This window comes from Homo sapiens, chromosome 18, assembly GCF_000001405.40.
Source record: "Homo sapiens chromosome 18, GRCh38.p14 Primary Assembly".
Taxonomy (NCBI): domain Eukaryota; kingdom Metazoa; phylum Chordata; class Mammalia; order Primates; family Hominidae; genus Homo; species Homo sapiens.
Genome location: NC_000018.10, coordinates 55,441,472 through 55,459,525, shown reverse-complemented (window position 1 = coordinate 55,459,525; position 18,054 = coordinate 55,441,472). Strand labels below are relative to the sequence as shown.

The window sequence follows — 18,054 nt, the reverse complement described above, 5'->3', positions numbered from 1 at the left end:
CCTAAATAATATACTAACTTCCTTGGATCCTAAAATGATCCTCCAATGAGCTACAGTAAGAAAAATAGAATAAATAAATACTCATAGGGAGACGCTTATGTTATCTATGTGAAAAAAGTTTTAACTCTAAAGAACAACTTGATAAATTAATATTACAGAATACACCAAGCAGTACAAACAGATTAAATGATTGTTCTGTTCATGTTTCCTCATGGGCAACTGCTTTACAAATCAAATTAGTTTTTCAACCCAAATAGTATTTAAAATATAAGTGGCCTGACAGTCTAGAGCGGAGAGAGCTGATTCTTTTCACTTAGTTGTTGTTTAGGCTGCAAATCCATGTCAGCTTTGCTCTTTTATCCTGTCTGCCCTCCTTCCCATTAAACTCTTAAATATGGAGACCAAGACAGTCTCCTGCATTGTGATAGGAAATGCTACTATGTCCACGAGGCCCCCACCCACTGTTCCCAGTGAAAGGACTTCTCTGTTAGATAAGCTGTCTGGTTTGAAACATGGCTCTTTATTGTTTACAAACTGCTACATTTTCCACCTCGAGCAGATTTTTGCACAGAAAAGAATTGTGCTTGGGCTAAATGGTTTATCTGACATTAACGGCGCAGTGTCAGACTGGGGTCAGGGAAGTCACCCTCAGAGCGAGAGGGTATTGCGCGGTATGCAAAAAAAATGGAAAAGGGAGAAAAAGACATTGAAACAAGTATGAAATACCTTACATTTTTAGTTTAGAGAAGAATAATTTTTTTAAGAGAATTGACTCTTATGCTGCATTAAAAACTTCCCATCGCTATAATTTCTCACACACCCGATGCCTTCTTGATTGGCTTGCGTATCTGAAGGCTAGATTCGGGGAACAAAGATTCTCATTGATTTTGCCCAAGCTGCTGTTTATTTAAAATGAAACCACTTTTCAGATGAGCCATATTTGGTGTTATGTTACAGCTTTACAAAGAAAAGATAGATCATTTTCAAGAAATTAACGACAATTAATTTACAAATGATAATAAAAACAAAGTAAGATCTATTGGTGTAGGGGACAGTTTGAACTCATAGCATATATGCTGTGTTCTAAACCGCACTTTGTGTCCAGACCCAGAGCCCATGTTGTGACCTTTGTGGATATTTTCCTTCTACCAAAAGAAGGTAGTAGACTTTAGCATAAGTGTTTGACAACACTCCAGTCTCCACTTTCAGAATGTTTAACTGGTTTTTGTTAAAACTACAAAGTATTTGTTTCTGTCTCAAAGGCTTAATTCTGCTGTGATGTCGCATCAGGGTAAAAGCTATAGCATCAGAAATAAATCAGCCACTTTATTGGAGCAGATTCTCTATTGTCAAATCAATCAAGCCTGTGACTGAATTAGGCGTCTGCTACAGAAATAAGTGACACTAATTTTATAGGAAAGAGTTATTAACTGCAGATGACCTGATTTTTTTTTTTCCTTTTTTTGGTGAACTGTTCATTTAGTAAGGTTTTATTTTATTGCAAAGAAAGAAAAAAGTACTGGACTACTCTTTCCTTTTGAGAGTGGATTATCATTAATTATGTATTTTGTTCTTTATGGCAGTATACAATTTTAGGGAAATGATAACAGGCATTGCTAGTATATTTGTTTATAACCTCTATGGTAATGAAACCCATTATTACAACTCTGAACTTCTTGATTTCACATGAATGGTTTTGCATTTTACAGATTTTTAAACATAATACTTCTATTTGGCACTGAAATTCCAAAACTTAGTTCATTTGTGTCTCTATTTCACATTTATGCAAAGTGGGATATAAATTATAAGAGTAATAAAGTGTTTTAGCCTAGGCAACATGGTGAAACCTCATCTCTACCAAAAATACAAAAACTTAGCCAGGCGTGGTGGCACACTTCTGTGGTCCCAACTACTTGGGAGGCCAAGGAGGGAGGATCTCTTGAGCTCAGGGGGCGGAGGTTGCAGTGGGCTGACATCATGCCATTGCACCCCAACCTGGGCAATAAGTGAGATCCCATCTCAAAAAAAAGTAATAAAATGTTTGTTTTAATTTATTCTTTTAGAAATAATCTTGTGTGTGTGGAAAAATGCACTATTTGATAGTTTGTGAATCCCTAAAGTAAATAAAACACCCATGTGTGGTTATACATGCATGCACACACATGTACACCCATACACACAATGTATGTATCATGCTAGAAGACTTAATGACGTTTCTTGGTTTATAAGATTGTTCTGTATTCCTGTCTGTGGTTATAGTTGTCATACAGGGTTTTAGTGGTTGATACTTGTAAGTGTTTTAAAGAAGAACCTAACTAACAGAAACAAAAAGCAAGCTCCTAAATTTTTTTTAAATAGGTGTGAATAGCCTTTGTGTTTGTTTTGATGTTGGCAGGGTTGAGAGATGTCAGTACTGACTGCCTACATTGACCAATTCATATACTTTTACCTGACATTTACTAAGAACTCACTCGTTGCTTTCATTGTGTAGATACATGCCAGGTTGCATTTTGCCTTAGTTGAAATTCCATGCATTGTTTTATATCTGGAGAAAATAAATCATTTCTTCCTTGTGACTGCCTATCATTATTAATGATTATAATGTACACTGGACCTATTGGAGACTTCTTCATTGCAGTTTTTAAACAATTTGATGAAACCTTCCTAGGTGGTCCATTGGATACCTTTCAGAGTATGCTAATGGTAGAAAGGGTCGATGAGTCTAATTCCTCTGTTTTTTTAAGAGGGTTATTTATATGCTATGGAATAGTTTGAGAATCCTGGCAAGAAGTGTATGGAAAGAATATGGACATTAAAAAAAACTTTTTTTTCCTTTGTCAAGCACTAAACTTTTGCAGGTAATTGTCCAGATATTTTTACAATGGTAGACAATATATTTTCTAGCTAAAACTGTTTGCTCCAAGGAAGGAGCTAAGCATTCCATTTTCCTTTTATTATTCCAGAGCATCGATTGAAAGCTAGATTGAGGATAAGTGAGCAAGTTGCCCCATAAAATTACATACATGCATTTGTGACTGAAGGGTGTGAAAAGCGATACTTTTGTACATTTGGCTACAGCTTAGTTCAGCATCGGGGCTATGCTTTCACATGGCCCATTTTGAATGGTTCAGTTTCCTTACTGTGGTATTTGGTTCTAGTCCTACTCATGGTACTCTCCCAGAGCATTAAATAATTTACCGCCATAGGGTAGCTGGGTTCTAACCTAGCTCAGCAGAACATTTTTCTGCTGGATTAGATTGAGGTTTCAGGCAGAACTGAAGAAAGCTGCTGGCTTACAGGATGACCTTTGAATCTCATCTGGGTTAGCGGTTGATATTTTGATTTGGTTACTGTGGTCATATTGTGACAGCTGCTAGCTCATTATAATTCGGTTCCACCGCTCCGTTTGCCTAGCAGGAATATTTAGGTTTGTATTACTTCAGAGTGTTTATGGCTACCCTGAGTTTAGCCCAGCATAAAGGTGAAGTGTTGTGAGTGTTTTCAAATCCCAGTGGCAGAAGCAGGTGCCACAGTCTTCTTGTAAAACAGCAAATGTGAGTACATGCTAATACAGGGAGTTTTACTCTTCATTGTAAAACAGAGAATAACCAATGAATCAGCTTTTACTAGGAAAAGTGTTTTTGGAAGCCTTAATGTACAAAGGAAAAGCATGACTACAAAGAAACATAATTTTTCAAAGCACGAATGAGATGTTACCTGACTTCATGGTTAGATATTTTGTTCTTTGCAGAAGTGTGAGTATTAGAAAATAGTAAAACCTGTACAATAATGGCAATCATTTGATGTTTGAAAGTTCCAAAGGTCAAATAATCTTTAGTAACTTCATAAGAACGGAACTGTGAATATAGATGTCAGCTCTAGAAATTTTAGTTCACTTTTTAAATGCAGCGAAATTAGGTAGTGATACAAGCAGGCCCCTTTGCTAGTTCATTAGTTAGGGACATCTTGGTGTGCTTCTTTTTTTTTTTTTTTTTTCCAATAACACCTTTCAGCTTGATGTTATCTCGACATCAACTCTTAAGTGTTGGACTTATAATGTGGCACAAGTAATTTCTGAGAAAGGAAATTATTAATTGTGGTCTTATTTGATTTTACTTTGGGAATTTTCATTTCTTTAATGTTAAATTTAAAATGCCCTCCTGAAATATTAACAAGTATGACTCGTTTGAGCCTCATCGCTGGTGTTTTTAGCAATCTTGATTGTTGAGCTAAGGCTGGTAGTCAGGAGTCAGGAGAACTCAGTTTTTCTTTCTTCTACTTCTTCCTTTCTTCTTCTACTTCTCCTTCTTCTTTTTCTTTTCTTTTTTTTTTTTTTTTTTTTTTTTGAGACAGAGTCTCTCTCTGTTGCCCAGACTGGAGTTCAGTAGGATGATCTCTGAAGCCTCAACTTCCTGGGCTCAGGTGAGCCTCCCACCTTAGCCTGCTGAGCAGCTGGGACGACAGGTGTACACCACCACATCTGGCTAATTTTTATATTTTTAGTAGAGATGGGGTTTTACCATGTTAGCCAGGCTGGTCTTGAACTCCTGACCTGAAGTGATCTGCCTGCTTCAGTCTCCCAAAGCCCTGGGATTACAGGCGTGAGCCACCACGCCCAGCCAAGAATTGAGTTTTCTATTCTGTTTTGCTACAGCTGCCTGTGGGTCCTCTGGTCAGGTCGTTTTCACATCTTTAGGTTGAGGGAGGAACAGCTCTTTAGGTGATCTCTGAGATAATTTTATTATCTAATGGTCCATTGATCTTTCTGATATGTCATTTTATCCTTATACTATATTTTCTCTTTGGAGATGTTTTATTGTTCTTTCTAATCCATTCATCTCTATTTTATGAATACCTTCAAGTGACTTTGCCAGTGATGTGTTTTCCAAATGTAATTCTTTAAAGCCTAACTAAAATAGATATTCCTTTTATATCTCAGCTGATTCCAGATCTATAGCTAAGGAATTGGATTGGTTGGGGATAAATAAAATAATAACTCATTAAGTTGAGTCACCAGGAGAAAAGTTCTGTGCATAGATCAGTATTTAGCATAGAGGTTGTAGGACCTCAATAAATGACTGTCGAGTGAATCAGGGAATTAGATAGATAGGGTTTAAACGTTGAATGAAAAGCCCATACATTAAAGTTAGGCCTATACCTTACTGTACCAAGAAGAAGACCCTAAACCAGAGCCAGTCATATAGAAATTCACATTTTGTTCTATAGGACTATATCCTTGACTGGGCAAAATATTCTGCCAAGATAGGAAACGGGCCATATTACAGTGTGGCCTGTTTCAGTTTTCAGTACACCACAGATTATTTTATATATAAGCGGAAATAAGTAAAATCAATAATATTTTGGGTCGGGCATAGTGCCTCATGCCTGTAATCCTAGCACTTTGGGAGGCCAAGGTGGAAGGATTGCTCGAGCCCAAGTGTTTGAGACCAGCCTGGGCAACATAGCGAGATCCTGTTTCTACAGATAATAAAAAAATTAGCTGGGTGTGGTTTTATGCACTAGTGGTCCCAGACATTCAGGAGGCTGAGGTGGAAGGACTACTGGAGGCTGGGAGGTTGAGGTCACTACAGTGAGCTGTGATTGTGCCACTGCACTTGCACTCCAGCCTGGGTGACAGAGAGAGACCCCATTGCTAATAATAATAATACTTATTACTATATTTATATTTTTGTAATTATATAATAATAATAATTACTATTATTATTATAAATAATTTGAAAGGCCATTGAAAAAAGTTGCGTTTCTGGTATTGAGCTAAGATAACTGATTTCCTTTTGTCCAGTCAGAGGACATTTCCATTCTTCTCTCATTGGTCTTGTTTCCTTTCCGGCCTACTCTGTGATATAGCACAGCTAATGCTGTGGTCCTCAAACACTTTTAGAGTCCAACTAGGTTTACTAATCCAAGTCGTATAACATTTAGAAGAATTTCTAAACAGAAAAATGTTACTTGAAAACTATGGCCAACAGAGATGTATAGACCTTCTAAATACCAGGGGAAGATTTCTCACATAGAAAGTTATTGACCCAAAGAGAAGATAAATCATTTAAGCTTCACATAAAAGTAAAAAGCAATTTGTATCAGGTAGGAATGCTTTTGCTTCGAAGTAATGGAAAATGTGACTAATGATGGCTTAAGAATAATTTTTCTCATTCTAGAAATCTGGTGGTAGGTCCCTGCTGGAAGTGGTTTGCAGCTCAGTGATGTCAGGGCTGGTGGCTCTGTGATTCTTTTGTCCTTCCCCTCATTGTCTAAAGATGGGGGTCACAGCTTCTTGTGTCAAGTTCAGGTTTGATGCAGAAAGAAGGGGAAGGGTGAGTTGAGTGGTGTCTCCCCACCACACTGCTTCCCCATAACCCAGGCCATCTCCAGCTGCAGAGGTTGGGGCAGGGCTGGGAATGCAGCCTGGGAAATAGACAGGAGAGAAGCAAGTTTGGGACTCATACTGGGCTTACTAACTTGCAGTGTTCAATTCACACTTTAATTTTTTAAAGAGAAAAATATATAATTTTCTATTTAATAATTTTGAAAATTAAGAACAAGGCCTTAACTTTCATGTAATAAAAATATATAAAAAGATGTCTCAGCTCTAATTTCTGGTCAGCAAATTAGAGAGGAAGATGGAGTAGGAAAAAAGATACTGTAAAGAGGAAGATGGAGAAAGTACAGGCATGAGCGTCTTGCATGGGAAGGAGCGTGAGGTCTGCTGTTTGCATCTCACCTTCAAGGCCTGTGTCTTCATTGTCCTAAGCCCTTGAGCAAGGCAGCAACCAGCCAAAGCCAGCTCTCCTTACCTTTGCTTTCCCCAGGACCTTCTCTTTTAGGTCTCTGGCTTGACTTTCTGCCAGCCTGTCCAGGGCACCCTTGTCACGCAACAGGCCTGTAGCTCCAGCCACCAACCACTCTTTTCTCCAGTCCCCTGGGTGGTCTTTGGCAGAGCCAAAGGCCAGGCTTTACTCCCAGTGTCTCCTGCTGCACCCATCCAGAGCAGGCCTGGCACCCTGGAGCACGTCCCTGGGACATGCTGCTACAAGTGACAGACAAAGATCTTTCTCCTGGACCATTGCCCAAACAGTTTCCAGGGAACTTACCTCCAGCAACCTGCCATGTCACCATGAAACAGTCAGACAAGAATGCCTACTGCCTAGGGGAGAAAACCCTCTATTTTCTTTTAATATGTACACAATTGCAGTTGTTGATTTTTAATGTGGAGGATTAGGTGCAGCCAAAAGACATTTAGTTTTAGACAACATGCCAAGACTGGATGAAATGGTGAGAGCTGGATCCAACTTTTGTCCAGAAGTTTCCCAACCCTATTGAACAGTCTCATGTCATGAATCAGACCCATTGGAACAGAGGCAGGGGGAAGGACCATCTATCATTAAAGGTAACCAGGATGTGAAATAAACAGTGCTGCTTTTATTTAGTAGAAAAAGTTTTTCTCTAGGTTTTTACATTTTTATTTATTTTCATGTTTTTATTTACTTACTTTCTTTTTAGACACAGAATCTCACTCTGTCACCCAGGCTGGAGTACAGTGACATGATTATAGCTCACTGCATCTTCAAACACCTAGGCTCAAGTGATCCTCCCGCTTTAGCCTCCCAAAGTTCTGGGATTACAGGTGTGAGCCACTGTGCCCAGCCAATTCTCTAAGTCTTTCCTTGGGAAGATGGTTTCTCTGAATTTTGCATAAGCCCTATACTTAAAATGTGTCTGTGACAGTATTAACCAGTACCCTACTTCTGGACTGGATCTTGGGTGGCGGGGTTGCGATTAAACACTTTGTGTTTCTCAAACCTCTCATTACTCCATGGCTTCAGGAGAATAACATCAGTATAGTTAGGGAATCCTGAACCTCACATCCTTGAAACTTCTGTGTCCACCTTAAGTGCTGTATTCATCCTCAATAAAAATAAGACTGCTTTCTTTGTTCACATTATATATTCTTAGAACCAAAGAAGCAAAGGAGCTGTTTTGAGCAGTGCACATCTTACAGGGTGTCATGGGACAGTGGATTCTAGGTCTTCAGGGGTCACTTCAGCATAATTCTTGGCTTTTCACTTCCTAGTGATGGGTGATGGGACATTGGGCAAATTTCCTCAGAGCCCCCGTTTTCTGGTTTCCCAGGTGAGGACAGGGATGCCAGCCTGGCCCACCCCTCCCAGGCTCACTGAGAAAGATGTGGTGATGTGATACACTTTGTAATCACTGTGCTCTGCTGTGTAACTGTTAGGGCATTGCAAGGCTAACCACTGGTCATCTGTCATTTTCGTCTGGGTAATGAATGGAAAAATCTATAGACTTTGGGGTTTTGGGTGGTAGCAATTTTAAAATACCTATACCTTCTAAAGAGATTGGAACAGAAGGCAGGAGCAGGTGGAGGTAGTATAGAATGTTCACTTCTGTAAACATCAAGACCAAAATGAAAAGGCTTCTTTTTTAGCCAGTCCACAAAACAGTAATCCTATAAAATAAGTACCTCTTTGGGGACAGCTGTGTTGGATTCAGATGCTCCCTTTTGTGAAATATTTGCCTACAGCCATGTTTCTCTCCATTTTAAATGTTCTCAAGTTTCATCTTTAAACACAAGGCCAAGAACACCCTGGTGTGGTGTTTGAGTGGTGAGACTAGGGAGAACCCACTGACAAATGCAGATTTCTTTGCCTGTGTTGTAGGTCATCTGAATAATGGAGTCACTACAAGGTACCATGGTTTTCATCAAGGAGATAGTTTTACAAATACCTTCCATATTCTTGGGAATGTTTTGGAGACAGTCCTATTCCACTTCATTTCTTTCTTCTCCACAGATGCTTGGTATAGAATGTTGCCTCTGTATATGGGATTATTCTCTCATTCCCTTTACTCCACAGACGCTTGGTATAGAATGTTGCCTCTGTATTGGATTATTCTCTCATTCCCCTTACTCTTAAGAGTTTTTGAATCCGAAGGAAACATGTTTTGTTTTGAGTAAAAGGAGGTGTTCAGTGGATCTCATTTTCTTTTCTTTTGCGGAATATGAGGCCTAGGAACTAACAATTGCAAAATATATGGAGCATAGGTTGAGATTAAATTAAATTTATTTCTAAGTGGTTAATAGACACAGCTCGAACATTTTTCATCTTCTTGATGATTGCTTATTAATCACTCCTTAATTCCTTGACACATTTATTAATAGGAAAAATTGCAAGGAAGCATCATTTGAAAGTAGTATAAAATACAGCTGGTTATATTGTTTATGTTTAAGATAAAACATTTAAAGCTTTCACGTAGGTTGAAAATGCCACAAGAGAACTAACATGGGGGAAGTGGTGGATGGTGGACCTAGCAGAGCACTGTGGTCAGCTGGGCATTGCTGTGAGCACCAGCTCACCACTCTCCAGTTCTGTGACCTTGGGCAAGTTTCTTTAGCACTGTGATGAAATTTCTCATCTAAGTAGTTGCCCTGTGTTTAAAAGAAATAACGTAAAGCCACCTGGCCCTAAAATTCAGTTAATGCAAATTATTATTACACCTACTATTATGTTATCTAGTCTGTTTTTCTGTTCATTGGGTCCGATCAGCTTGGCAAAAGTGATATGCTAACTTGAGCATCATGTAGTGAATTCTGGCAGAACGTGGAAGTGATTAATTAAATGCCACCCCCTCGTGGGCCATATTAAAGCTGAATGAAAATAGAAAGTGTGTAATATCTGATAACATTTGGTGGAGAAGGGGGAGACAGAAAAATTGAAGGATAAGAGAAAAGGAGACACATATAAAGCTAATTTTAGAGCGATAGATCACAAAGTAAGATTTTCTAGCTTTGTATTATCAGCATTGGCTTGGCTTTCTGAGTCTCGAAATTACTAGGTTACTGACTGGCCGTGCCTTTTCCTCACCTTGGCTATTCAGACCAAGCTGTACTCTTAACAGCTCAGTAGCCAAATCTGAATGCTTCAAATATAAGCATAAACTCTTTATGTGTAACTGATTGCACTTAATTGGGCAATACCAAATCATGGAAGAAAATTTATTAGTGACCCTGTCTCCTTCAGAACTTTCAGAGTAATTGGAAATGAGCCTAATATCCGTGTTTTTGAAAGCTTTAACAATTGGTCTACTGACAGGATTAAATTCATACTTTATATGGTGTGTATGTTTTTTCATGCTTAAGTTTTTTTCCTTATTTATTGATGGTCTTACAAATATTATTTGGAAATTGAGATGCAGTGAGCACAGATCTTAAATATCTTGGCAGACCGCCTCAGTAGCTGTGGATGATCCCTGTTAGCTAGAGAAAAACCAGGAAAAAAAAACCCAACCTGGTACACAATAGTTTACGAAATGATCTTTGTGTGATTTTGAACAAGCTGTTTTTCATTTTAATCTCAGTTTCCTTGCTTCTGTTACTGACCTAACTCATGGAGATGTGGCCAGGAGAGGGTGGGAGAGCTCTCTGAATTTTTTTGTTTCTCCTGAAATAAAACAGTTCTAAATAGACATACTTTTGTGTGATTACATTTTCCATTTTTCGCAAAGTCGTAGGTATAGTTTGAACACCAATTGAGAATAAAAGAAGCTGCCTTCTCCCAGTCTTTTCAAGACATTTTAATAGTTAATGAGATTTTGCCCCTTACCCTCATGAGTTTCATTTGGTTCTGAAATAAAAATTTACGGCTGTTCTCTCAGCTGAGCTGATACTAGTTTAAGAGTGGAATTGAGTTCACACCTGCTCTGGCATAAAAAGCCTCTATGTGACTTCTTTGAAATATTCACAGAGCAGAATAAGAGAGAGTACTCACTATCTCTACAACTGTAGTAACTACACGGTAATGTTGCTTGCAAGCACTTTAGAGAAGCTGCTCTATAAACTGACTCTAATCTGCTGATATTGTCCACAGATAGATGCCTCCCCTAAGTCACCTGTGTTCCTCAAGGTGGAATGTGGTTGTGGAAATGCAGTTGGTTTGTGTAGGCAGTGGGTCTACATTAACACTGTAAAGTGTACATATGGGAAAATCTTTGCATTTGCTAGGCCATTTAGCCGTTCAAGACATGGTCCGTTAGTCAGGCAACGTACAATGGATTTTCTGAGTGTTCTAGTTAAAGAGCAGGATGTGTAAAGTAGTATACATTTAGGCGGATAATTAATAATTGGTGTAGGCTTGTAAGGCTGTAATAGAATATATAAATTTCAGCACCTGTTAAAGTTTTATCAGAGCAGATCACCTTTCCTTACTGTGAGGGAATATTCCCGCCTGTAGAAAAATAAAGTGCTCCCACTACACGTGAAAAACCTTTATGATGAAAGGAGGACTGGTTTTTATAACAAATATTATTTTCCATGGTCACTGTGATTAGGTGACATTTTAGCAGTCACATTTAGAGAGCGTTCCTAGACAATAGTATTTTGTATGGGTTTGACTGTAGGTGGCAAAACACTGCATAGAAACAATATTTTAGTGCATTCTAATATTCAGATACAGTTTACTTGTCAAAGAAGCCACCTCCCCCCCCATATCATCCCCCCACAAAACAATAGGGTTGTTCATTTTATAAGTTCATCACAAGTAAATATTCAGAGCGAAAGCCTTTTCTAGTGGCTACGTTGGAAGGGGTAGAGAAGATGAAACATAGATCCCAAGTTCAGTTTTTGGCTTTGGTTGTATCATAAGCAGTTTTTACACTTCATATCTTAGCTGTCTTCATTTTCAGACATAGAGGAAGTGCTCCCTTACAGCAGTGAGGGAAAGGGCAAATGATATATTTGTGAAAGCAAAGCAGACTATCTTACTGCTTTAAAAGTTTCATTGGCTGCTTGATAAATAAAATTAACATGTTATCGATATGTCTGCAATCATATGGTCCTCAGTATATGTATTTTTTAAAGCCATTTATATAAATTCCATTTATTCTAGAAGCTGCCCAAAATGATAAACTTCAATACTCAAATGAGTCTTTGGTTCGTACAGTCATTCACCCAGCAAGTACTTTTGGGAAGCTGGTGATCTGCAAGCCCTATGTTAGGTACTAGATAGTGGCATGCTACTTTTCTTGCTTTCAACTTGGCCCACATCCTAATAAAAGAATCAGGTAGATATCAGATAATTACAATTCAGAGAGTTGGGGAAATAATCCATGTGTTCCCAGGGTGTTGTTGCATACATATCAGGGATACTCCACCATCAGCTTCCTCATAATAATGTCTAATTTTTTTTTTTTTTTTGAGACGGTCTCACCCCGTCCTTCAGGCTGGAGTGCAGGGGTGCTTACTGCAGCTTCAAACTTCTGGGCTTAAGATCTTCCCTCCTTGGCCTCCTGGTGGCAGGGACTGTGGGCACGTGCCACCACACCTGGCTAATTTTTTCTATTTTTATTTTTTGTAGAGACAAGGTCTCGCTCTGTTGCACAGGCTACTCTGGAACCTCTAGCCTCAAGCAGTCATCCTGCCTTAGCCTCCCAAAGATTACAAGTGTGAGCCACTGTGTCCAGCTTGGCTAAGATTTTTTTTTCTTTTTTTCCTTTTTTTTTTTTTTTTGAGACAGAGTCTCGCTCTGTCCCCAGGCTAGCATGCAGTGGCGCGATCTCCGCTCACTGCTAGCTCCACCTCCTGGGTTCACGCCATTCTCCTGCCTTAGCCTCCTGAGTATCTGGGACTACAGGCATCTACCACCACGCCCAGCTAATTTTTTGTGTGTTTTTAGTAGAGACAGGGTTTCACCGTGTTAGCCAGGATGGTCTCCATCTCCTGACCTAGTGATCCGCCTGCCTCGGCCTCCCAAAGTACTGGGATTACAGGCGTGAGTCACCGCGCCTGGCCTGGCTAAGATTTTTGGGTACTCACTGTGTACCAGGCACTTGCTAAGTACTTTACACATATTATCCTGCTTGCTCCTTATAATAAACTTCTTTGTTAGACATTGTCATTACCATTTTACAAAGGAGGCAATTGAGAATCAGAGAGATTAGGTTATTTGCCCAGTGTTGTGTAGCTGGTAAGTGGCAGAATCCAGATTTGAAGCAAGATCTGCTGAACTCTAAAGCCTTGTCCTTACCCACCACTGCATTGCCTCCTTTGTAGAGAATTTAGAAAGAATTCCCAGAGGTGGAATAGCAGCTAAACATGGGTTCAGCTGCAACTAATAGAATACCTGATAACAATGGTAGGTTAGTAAAACAAAGGGGTTTTTCCCCTTCATTTTAGGAGGTGTCTGGAGGCAGGAGGTTGCCTGTGTGAGTTCAGCAAATCAATGTTTCTTTCTTCCCATTCTGCCCTCCTTAGCATGCTGATTTTCATTCTTCAGCTTTTTCCTCTCCTCTTGCATTTCTTTCTTGCAAGCTGGCTCTTGAGCCTCACACAGCACATTAGAGTCCCCTAAAGGAGGCAGGGGAGGCAGAGGTTAGGGTAACATTTATCCTTACATATATCCTATTCCATCCAGGAAGGGGGAAAAACATTACCAGAATCTGGTGGCCTTGAGCAGGATTCTGCTAACAACTTATTGGCTAAACCTCTAGCAGACATCTACTCATAGCTGCAAGGGAAGCTTGGAATGTGAACTCTTAGAGCCATGGTTGGGTCTCTGACTCAAGAGACAGGCAAGGGAGGAGGGAGTTAGGAATGGCTATTGTATGGATCAACATGAATTTTCTTAATAATATACGTGGTAATGCCTGAGCTTCATCTTAAAGGTGAGTTGGTTAGAACTATCCTGATGGAAAGAAAATTACCAGTTGGTAGAGATGCTTGAGCAGAGCCTTGGGAGCTGGAAGACGTAATAGGAATACTGGAACTGAAGTCATTCTGTGAGATGACTATGAGATGTAGTACCACAGAGGAAGGGATGACAGGTTGATATGGCTTGGCTGTGTCCCACCCAAATCTCATCTTGAATTGTAGCTCTCATAATCCCCACATATTGTGGGAAGGACCTGGTGGGAGGCAATTGAATCATGGGGGGTGGGTTTTTCCCATGCTGTTCTTGTGATAGTGAATACATCTCACGAGATCTGATGGTTTTATAAAGGCCAGTTCGCCTGCACATGCTATCTTGCCTCCCACCATGTAGGACGTGCTTTTGCTTCTTCTTCGCCTTCCACCATGATTGTGAGGCTTCCCCAGCCATGTGAAACTATGAGTTCATTAAACCCCCTTTTCTTTATAAATTATAATTATTTATAAATTATAATTAAAATCTATAAATTGTACCATCTCCGGTATTTCTTCATAGCAGTATAAAAATGCTCTAATACACAGGTGAAGCTGGAATACAATCCTGGCCCCAGAGAAATGAAGGGTCTCTTGTGTTTAGGAGTGGAAGATGTCAGATTTTCAATGAAGCGTGTGGTAAACTACTCAAGGATTGATTTTAAATAGTGAGATACCATGATATGATTTATGATTTAGGACACTCAAGCAACTGTGAATAGGAGGCAACTTGAGGGCAAGGAGATTACTCAGGAGGTGATTAAGGCAATTCCAAGAGGAAATGATGAGATTGAGCTGAACTGGGAACAATGAAGATGAAGAGGAGGATGGATTTGAGTGATATTAAAATGATGGAAATGGTTGGACTTGGTAACTGATGGGCAAGGCAGGGGTCGTCCTTGGCTTCTTGGTGTCTGGCTTGGGCCACTTGGTGGTTGGCAGTGCCATTTGTTAAGATGTAGAATATATGAGGAGAAGTAGGTCATGGGGGATTAAGGTGGTCAGTTCAGTTTTGGAAATAATGAATTTTTGACATGTCTGTGGGTGGACAGATTTGTGATTCTGGGTTTGGGATTGCAGATTTGGCACACAATATTAATATTTCATAGTTGAAGTCATGGGAGTAGATAAGTTCCCCAGAGAGAGACATGAACCACCACCAACAAGGCAATTTGTTGCATTGTGACAGCTCTAACTTTTAGAAAGTTCTCAATTCTGTAGCTGTCAGCCTGAAATACTCATTTTTCCCTCTGAAGCTAACTAGTATTGTGTATTGTCTCTCTTTCCACATGTTTTGAAGGATGCTAATCTTGGCTTCCTTCAAAAGCGCAACTGGAAAACTTTCAACACATTGTAGAACATGGTTTAATCACACCTTGTATTCCCGGTCACCATCCTCTGCTGTGTTCTAGTTCATCTCTTTTTCCCTCCAAGTGGTGAATCCAAGTCTTACCCTAGTATTCCAGATCTGGTTTGATCAATAGTGGATCTGCTCTCATTTTTAGTGTTAATGCAGTCTAAGATTCCATGTATACATTCATATTTTAACATTGACTGAAAATGGAGCTTGTGGTCCACTAAAATCATTAAGTGTTTTTAACATTAATTGCTTTACATCCAGGGCTTCCACATCTTTGTGTAGAATGGGACTTAATACGTATCCTCGTCTGATTTCTTCATGTTGGTTTTGGTCTGCAAATGTGCAATAATTCTGTCCTTTCACTCTGTTGATATAGGAAGTGAGATGGTGTGATGCTTAGGAATGCAAACTCTTGGATTTATATCCTGGCTCTGCCCACCCTTTACTACCTGGGTGACATCTAAGTTGCTTTCTCTGAGTCACAGTTTCCTCATCTCTGTGTTGAAGATATTATAAAATCCATCTGTTGGGATTGTTGGGTGAAGTAAATGAGGTAATGCATGTATAATGCATAGAGGAATCCCCAGAACATCATCAACACTCAGTAATTTTTCCCTGTTACTATTGTAGGGCATATAAGGAGTTAATGGCGCTATTTTTGTGATTGTGGATCCTTTCTCTCAGTATTCTTTCTGGAATACTTTCAGTATCTCTTTCTGGAGAGAAAGTTTAAGGCAAGTGGTTCATCTGTGACGAATGGAAGAAGGAAATGTGGTTCTTGATTTTGAGTTGTGTGATGAACCCAAATTTACCAGGCAATAGATAGGATATGATGATTACTAAATTTGCCATTGACTGATAGTTAACTGGCTACCTTGTTGGGTCTCTTGAGAAAAGAACTAAAACAAGAACAACAACAACAAAAGCTTAAAATTACCTGAAAATATGTCTCTTTACCTACACCTAATTTTAAGGCAGAAAATTCCAAAGTGAGCCAGCTACTCAATACAGGTGCTGAAGGTTATGTGAAAATTCGGGTTAACACTAATGATAGATTGAGAGGTAACTGTTTGCTTTACAAACCGCTTGCCAAGGAATGCCCATATTAGACTATGAAAATTAGACTCATGGCAAATTTTCAGGAACATGATTCTTGTGATAAACAAGCTATCTGGAGGGTGATGTGTGAGCTCACAGGGGAGTTTTAAGAACAGGTTTCCATTGTTGGACAGTAACCTGACAGCTAGGCATACTCAGAGGAAGGGCATAGATTAGTATCCAACAACCTGTTTTAAAACCAAGCAATGGGACCCCATACAAGGTCCAGGTTGACCCGAACCAAGGTTAGATGAACCTGACTTGTTTTTATAGTAAACGTCACAATGGTGACAAGCCAGCAGGGTCATCAGCACACTTTGCAGCTACAGACTTCCCACTGGACAAACCATTTTCAGCTTCCTCTGTTTGGTCACACCCACAAGAAGTACGAATGGTATATTTAAAAAGCTAGTCCATCTTGGTTCATTTATACCAGTGTGTAGGATTTCTGTAGACTCTGGGCTGGTTACAACCTAGAGCTGCAGAAGGGTGCAGAGCTTCATGTGTTCATTCTGTACTGTGATAAAGTTCTTTGCACGTTTGTGGAAATGCAAAAGTTCTTCTATGCACCTGGCTTCTGTTCCGGTCATTTCCTTGTATATGGGTTTTGATCCGGTGTGACGGAAGAGGGAAGCTATGCATTCTGAGATCTCAGATTTCATTGTATCCAATTATTTATAAGACCTGAGAGGTGCTTTATTAGTTAGGAAGCACTGCAGATTTTCTCTGTAGCTTTTAAAAATCATCCTGACTTCCTATGTGTTATTTTTTGCATTGGCACCCATTGCCAATGCTATGTCTCAGAAGAGCCGAGACTTGTGGCCAATAATCCTTAGAAACTGATGGGGCTGTAGAATTTATTTCTCTGTCACCCTTTTTGAAAATAAAATAAAGTTATATTTTTCATTTACATGGATGGACAAATTGGGGTCTTTAAAATAAAACCTACTTCCCCTTTTCATTCTTTTTCTGATCATTTGTAGCAAAAGCTTAGTGGTTTTCTGTAGAACTGCTTTGTTTTAAAAATCAAATTGAAGACCAACTTGATTCTGCCTGCAGAGCAAAGCTATCTGCCTTTTTAGAAAATCTGGATGGTTAAATTGGAAGCACATTCTGCACATGGTTTAGCAGTTAGTAGCCTGGAAAATGACCCAATAGCCAAGATAGTTTTTTTGTTTGTTTGTTTTTTGTTTTTTTAATCTTCATTGTAAGTGCTTGTTTAAAGTGTAAGCTTGTAATGGACTATTTTGCACATTGTTCATTGTTAATTCTTTTCAGGCTATTATAGTTCTGTAAATACATTGCCTGCTAAGTTGTGTCAGTGGAGAAACATTAGTGCTATAAGAAAATCCAGTGAAATGTGCTTAAAAGCATTACCAATTAGCGCATGGGACTGGATCACCGCGATTTCTTAGTGATCCTAGAGAAGTCAGTTTCAGTTGACTTCCCATTTATTTAAAATGGGTATGACAACGTTCTTTTTGGAGAATAGGGCAGCACACAAATGCACACTATGCTGTGGCCTGCTGAAGAGTTTCCACTGATTTGTGACTATATTACTCAATATTGCTTTGTAGCACCCTTAGTCTAATCCACATTGAAGGAGCAAAATCCTTCTGTATCTTACTTATTATACGATTATGTAATACATATGTTACTTTATATATAATATGTAGTAGTACTTATTTTACTATTTTTATTCATTATAATGAAAATAACAAATTTACTGGGTGGTATCTACCATCTAGCTCAAGCTGTTCTATTTTGTATTGTTTAAATTTGAGAAAAGCTAATATTGGTTAATAATTAAAGGTTACAAAAATTGTAGTGGGAAAGGAGTTAAATTCTGTCTCTCAGATAGTAAAGACTGCCAGAACATGGACAT

General features: G+C 39.2%; 1 protein-coding gene and 1 long non-coding RNA gene across 35 annotated transcripts in view; one reads left to right on the top strand and one right to left on the bottom strand.

Moving 5' to 3' along the window:
• The window catches only part of TCF4-AS1 (TCF4 antisense RNA 1), a 30,408-nt gene extending 23,415 nt beyond the window's left edge, over positions 1-6,993 (bottom strand). The window contains exon 1 of the long non-coding RNA NR_132985.1: positions 6,816-6,993. This is a non-coding gene — a long non-coding RNA (TCF4 antisense RNA 1). The remainder of the gene's footprint in view (positions 1-6,815) is intronic.
• The window catches only part of TCF4 (transcription factor 4), a 413,773-nt gene that overhangs the window by 176,432 nt on the left and 219,287 nt on the right, over positions 1-18,054 (top strand). The window lies entirely within an intron of this gene.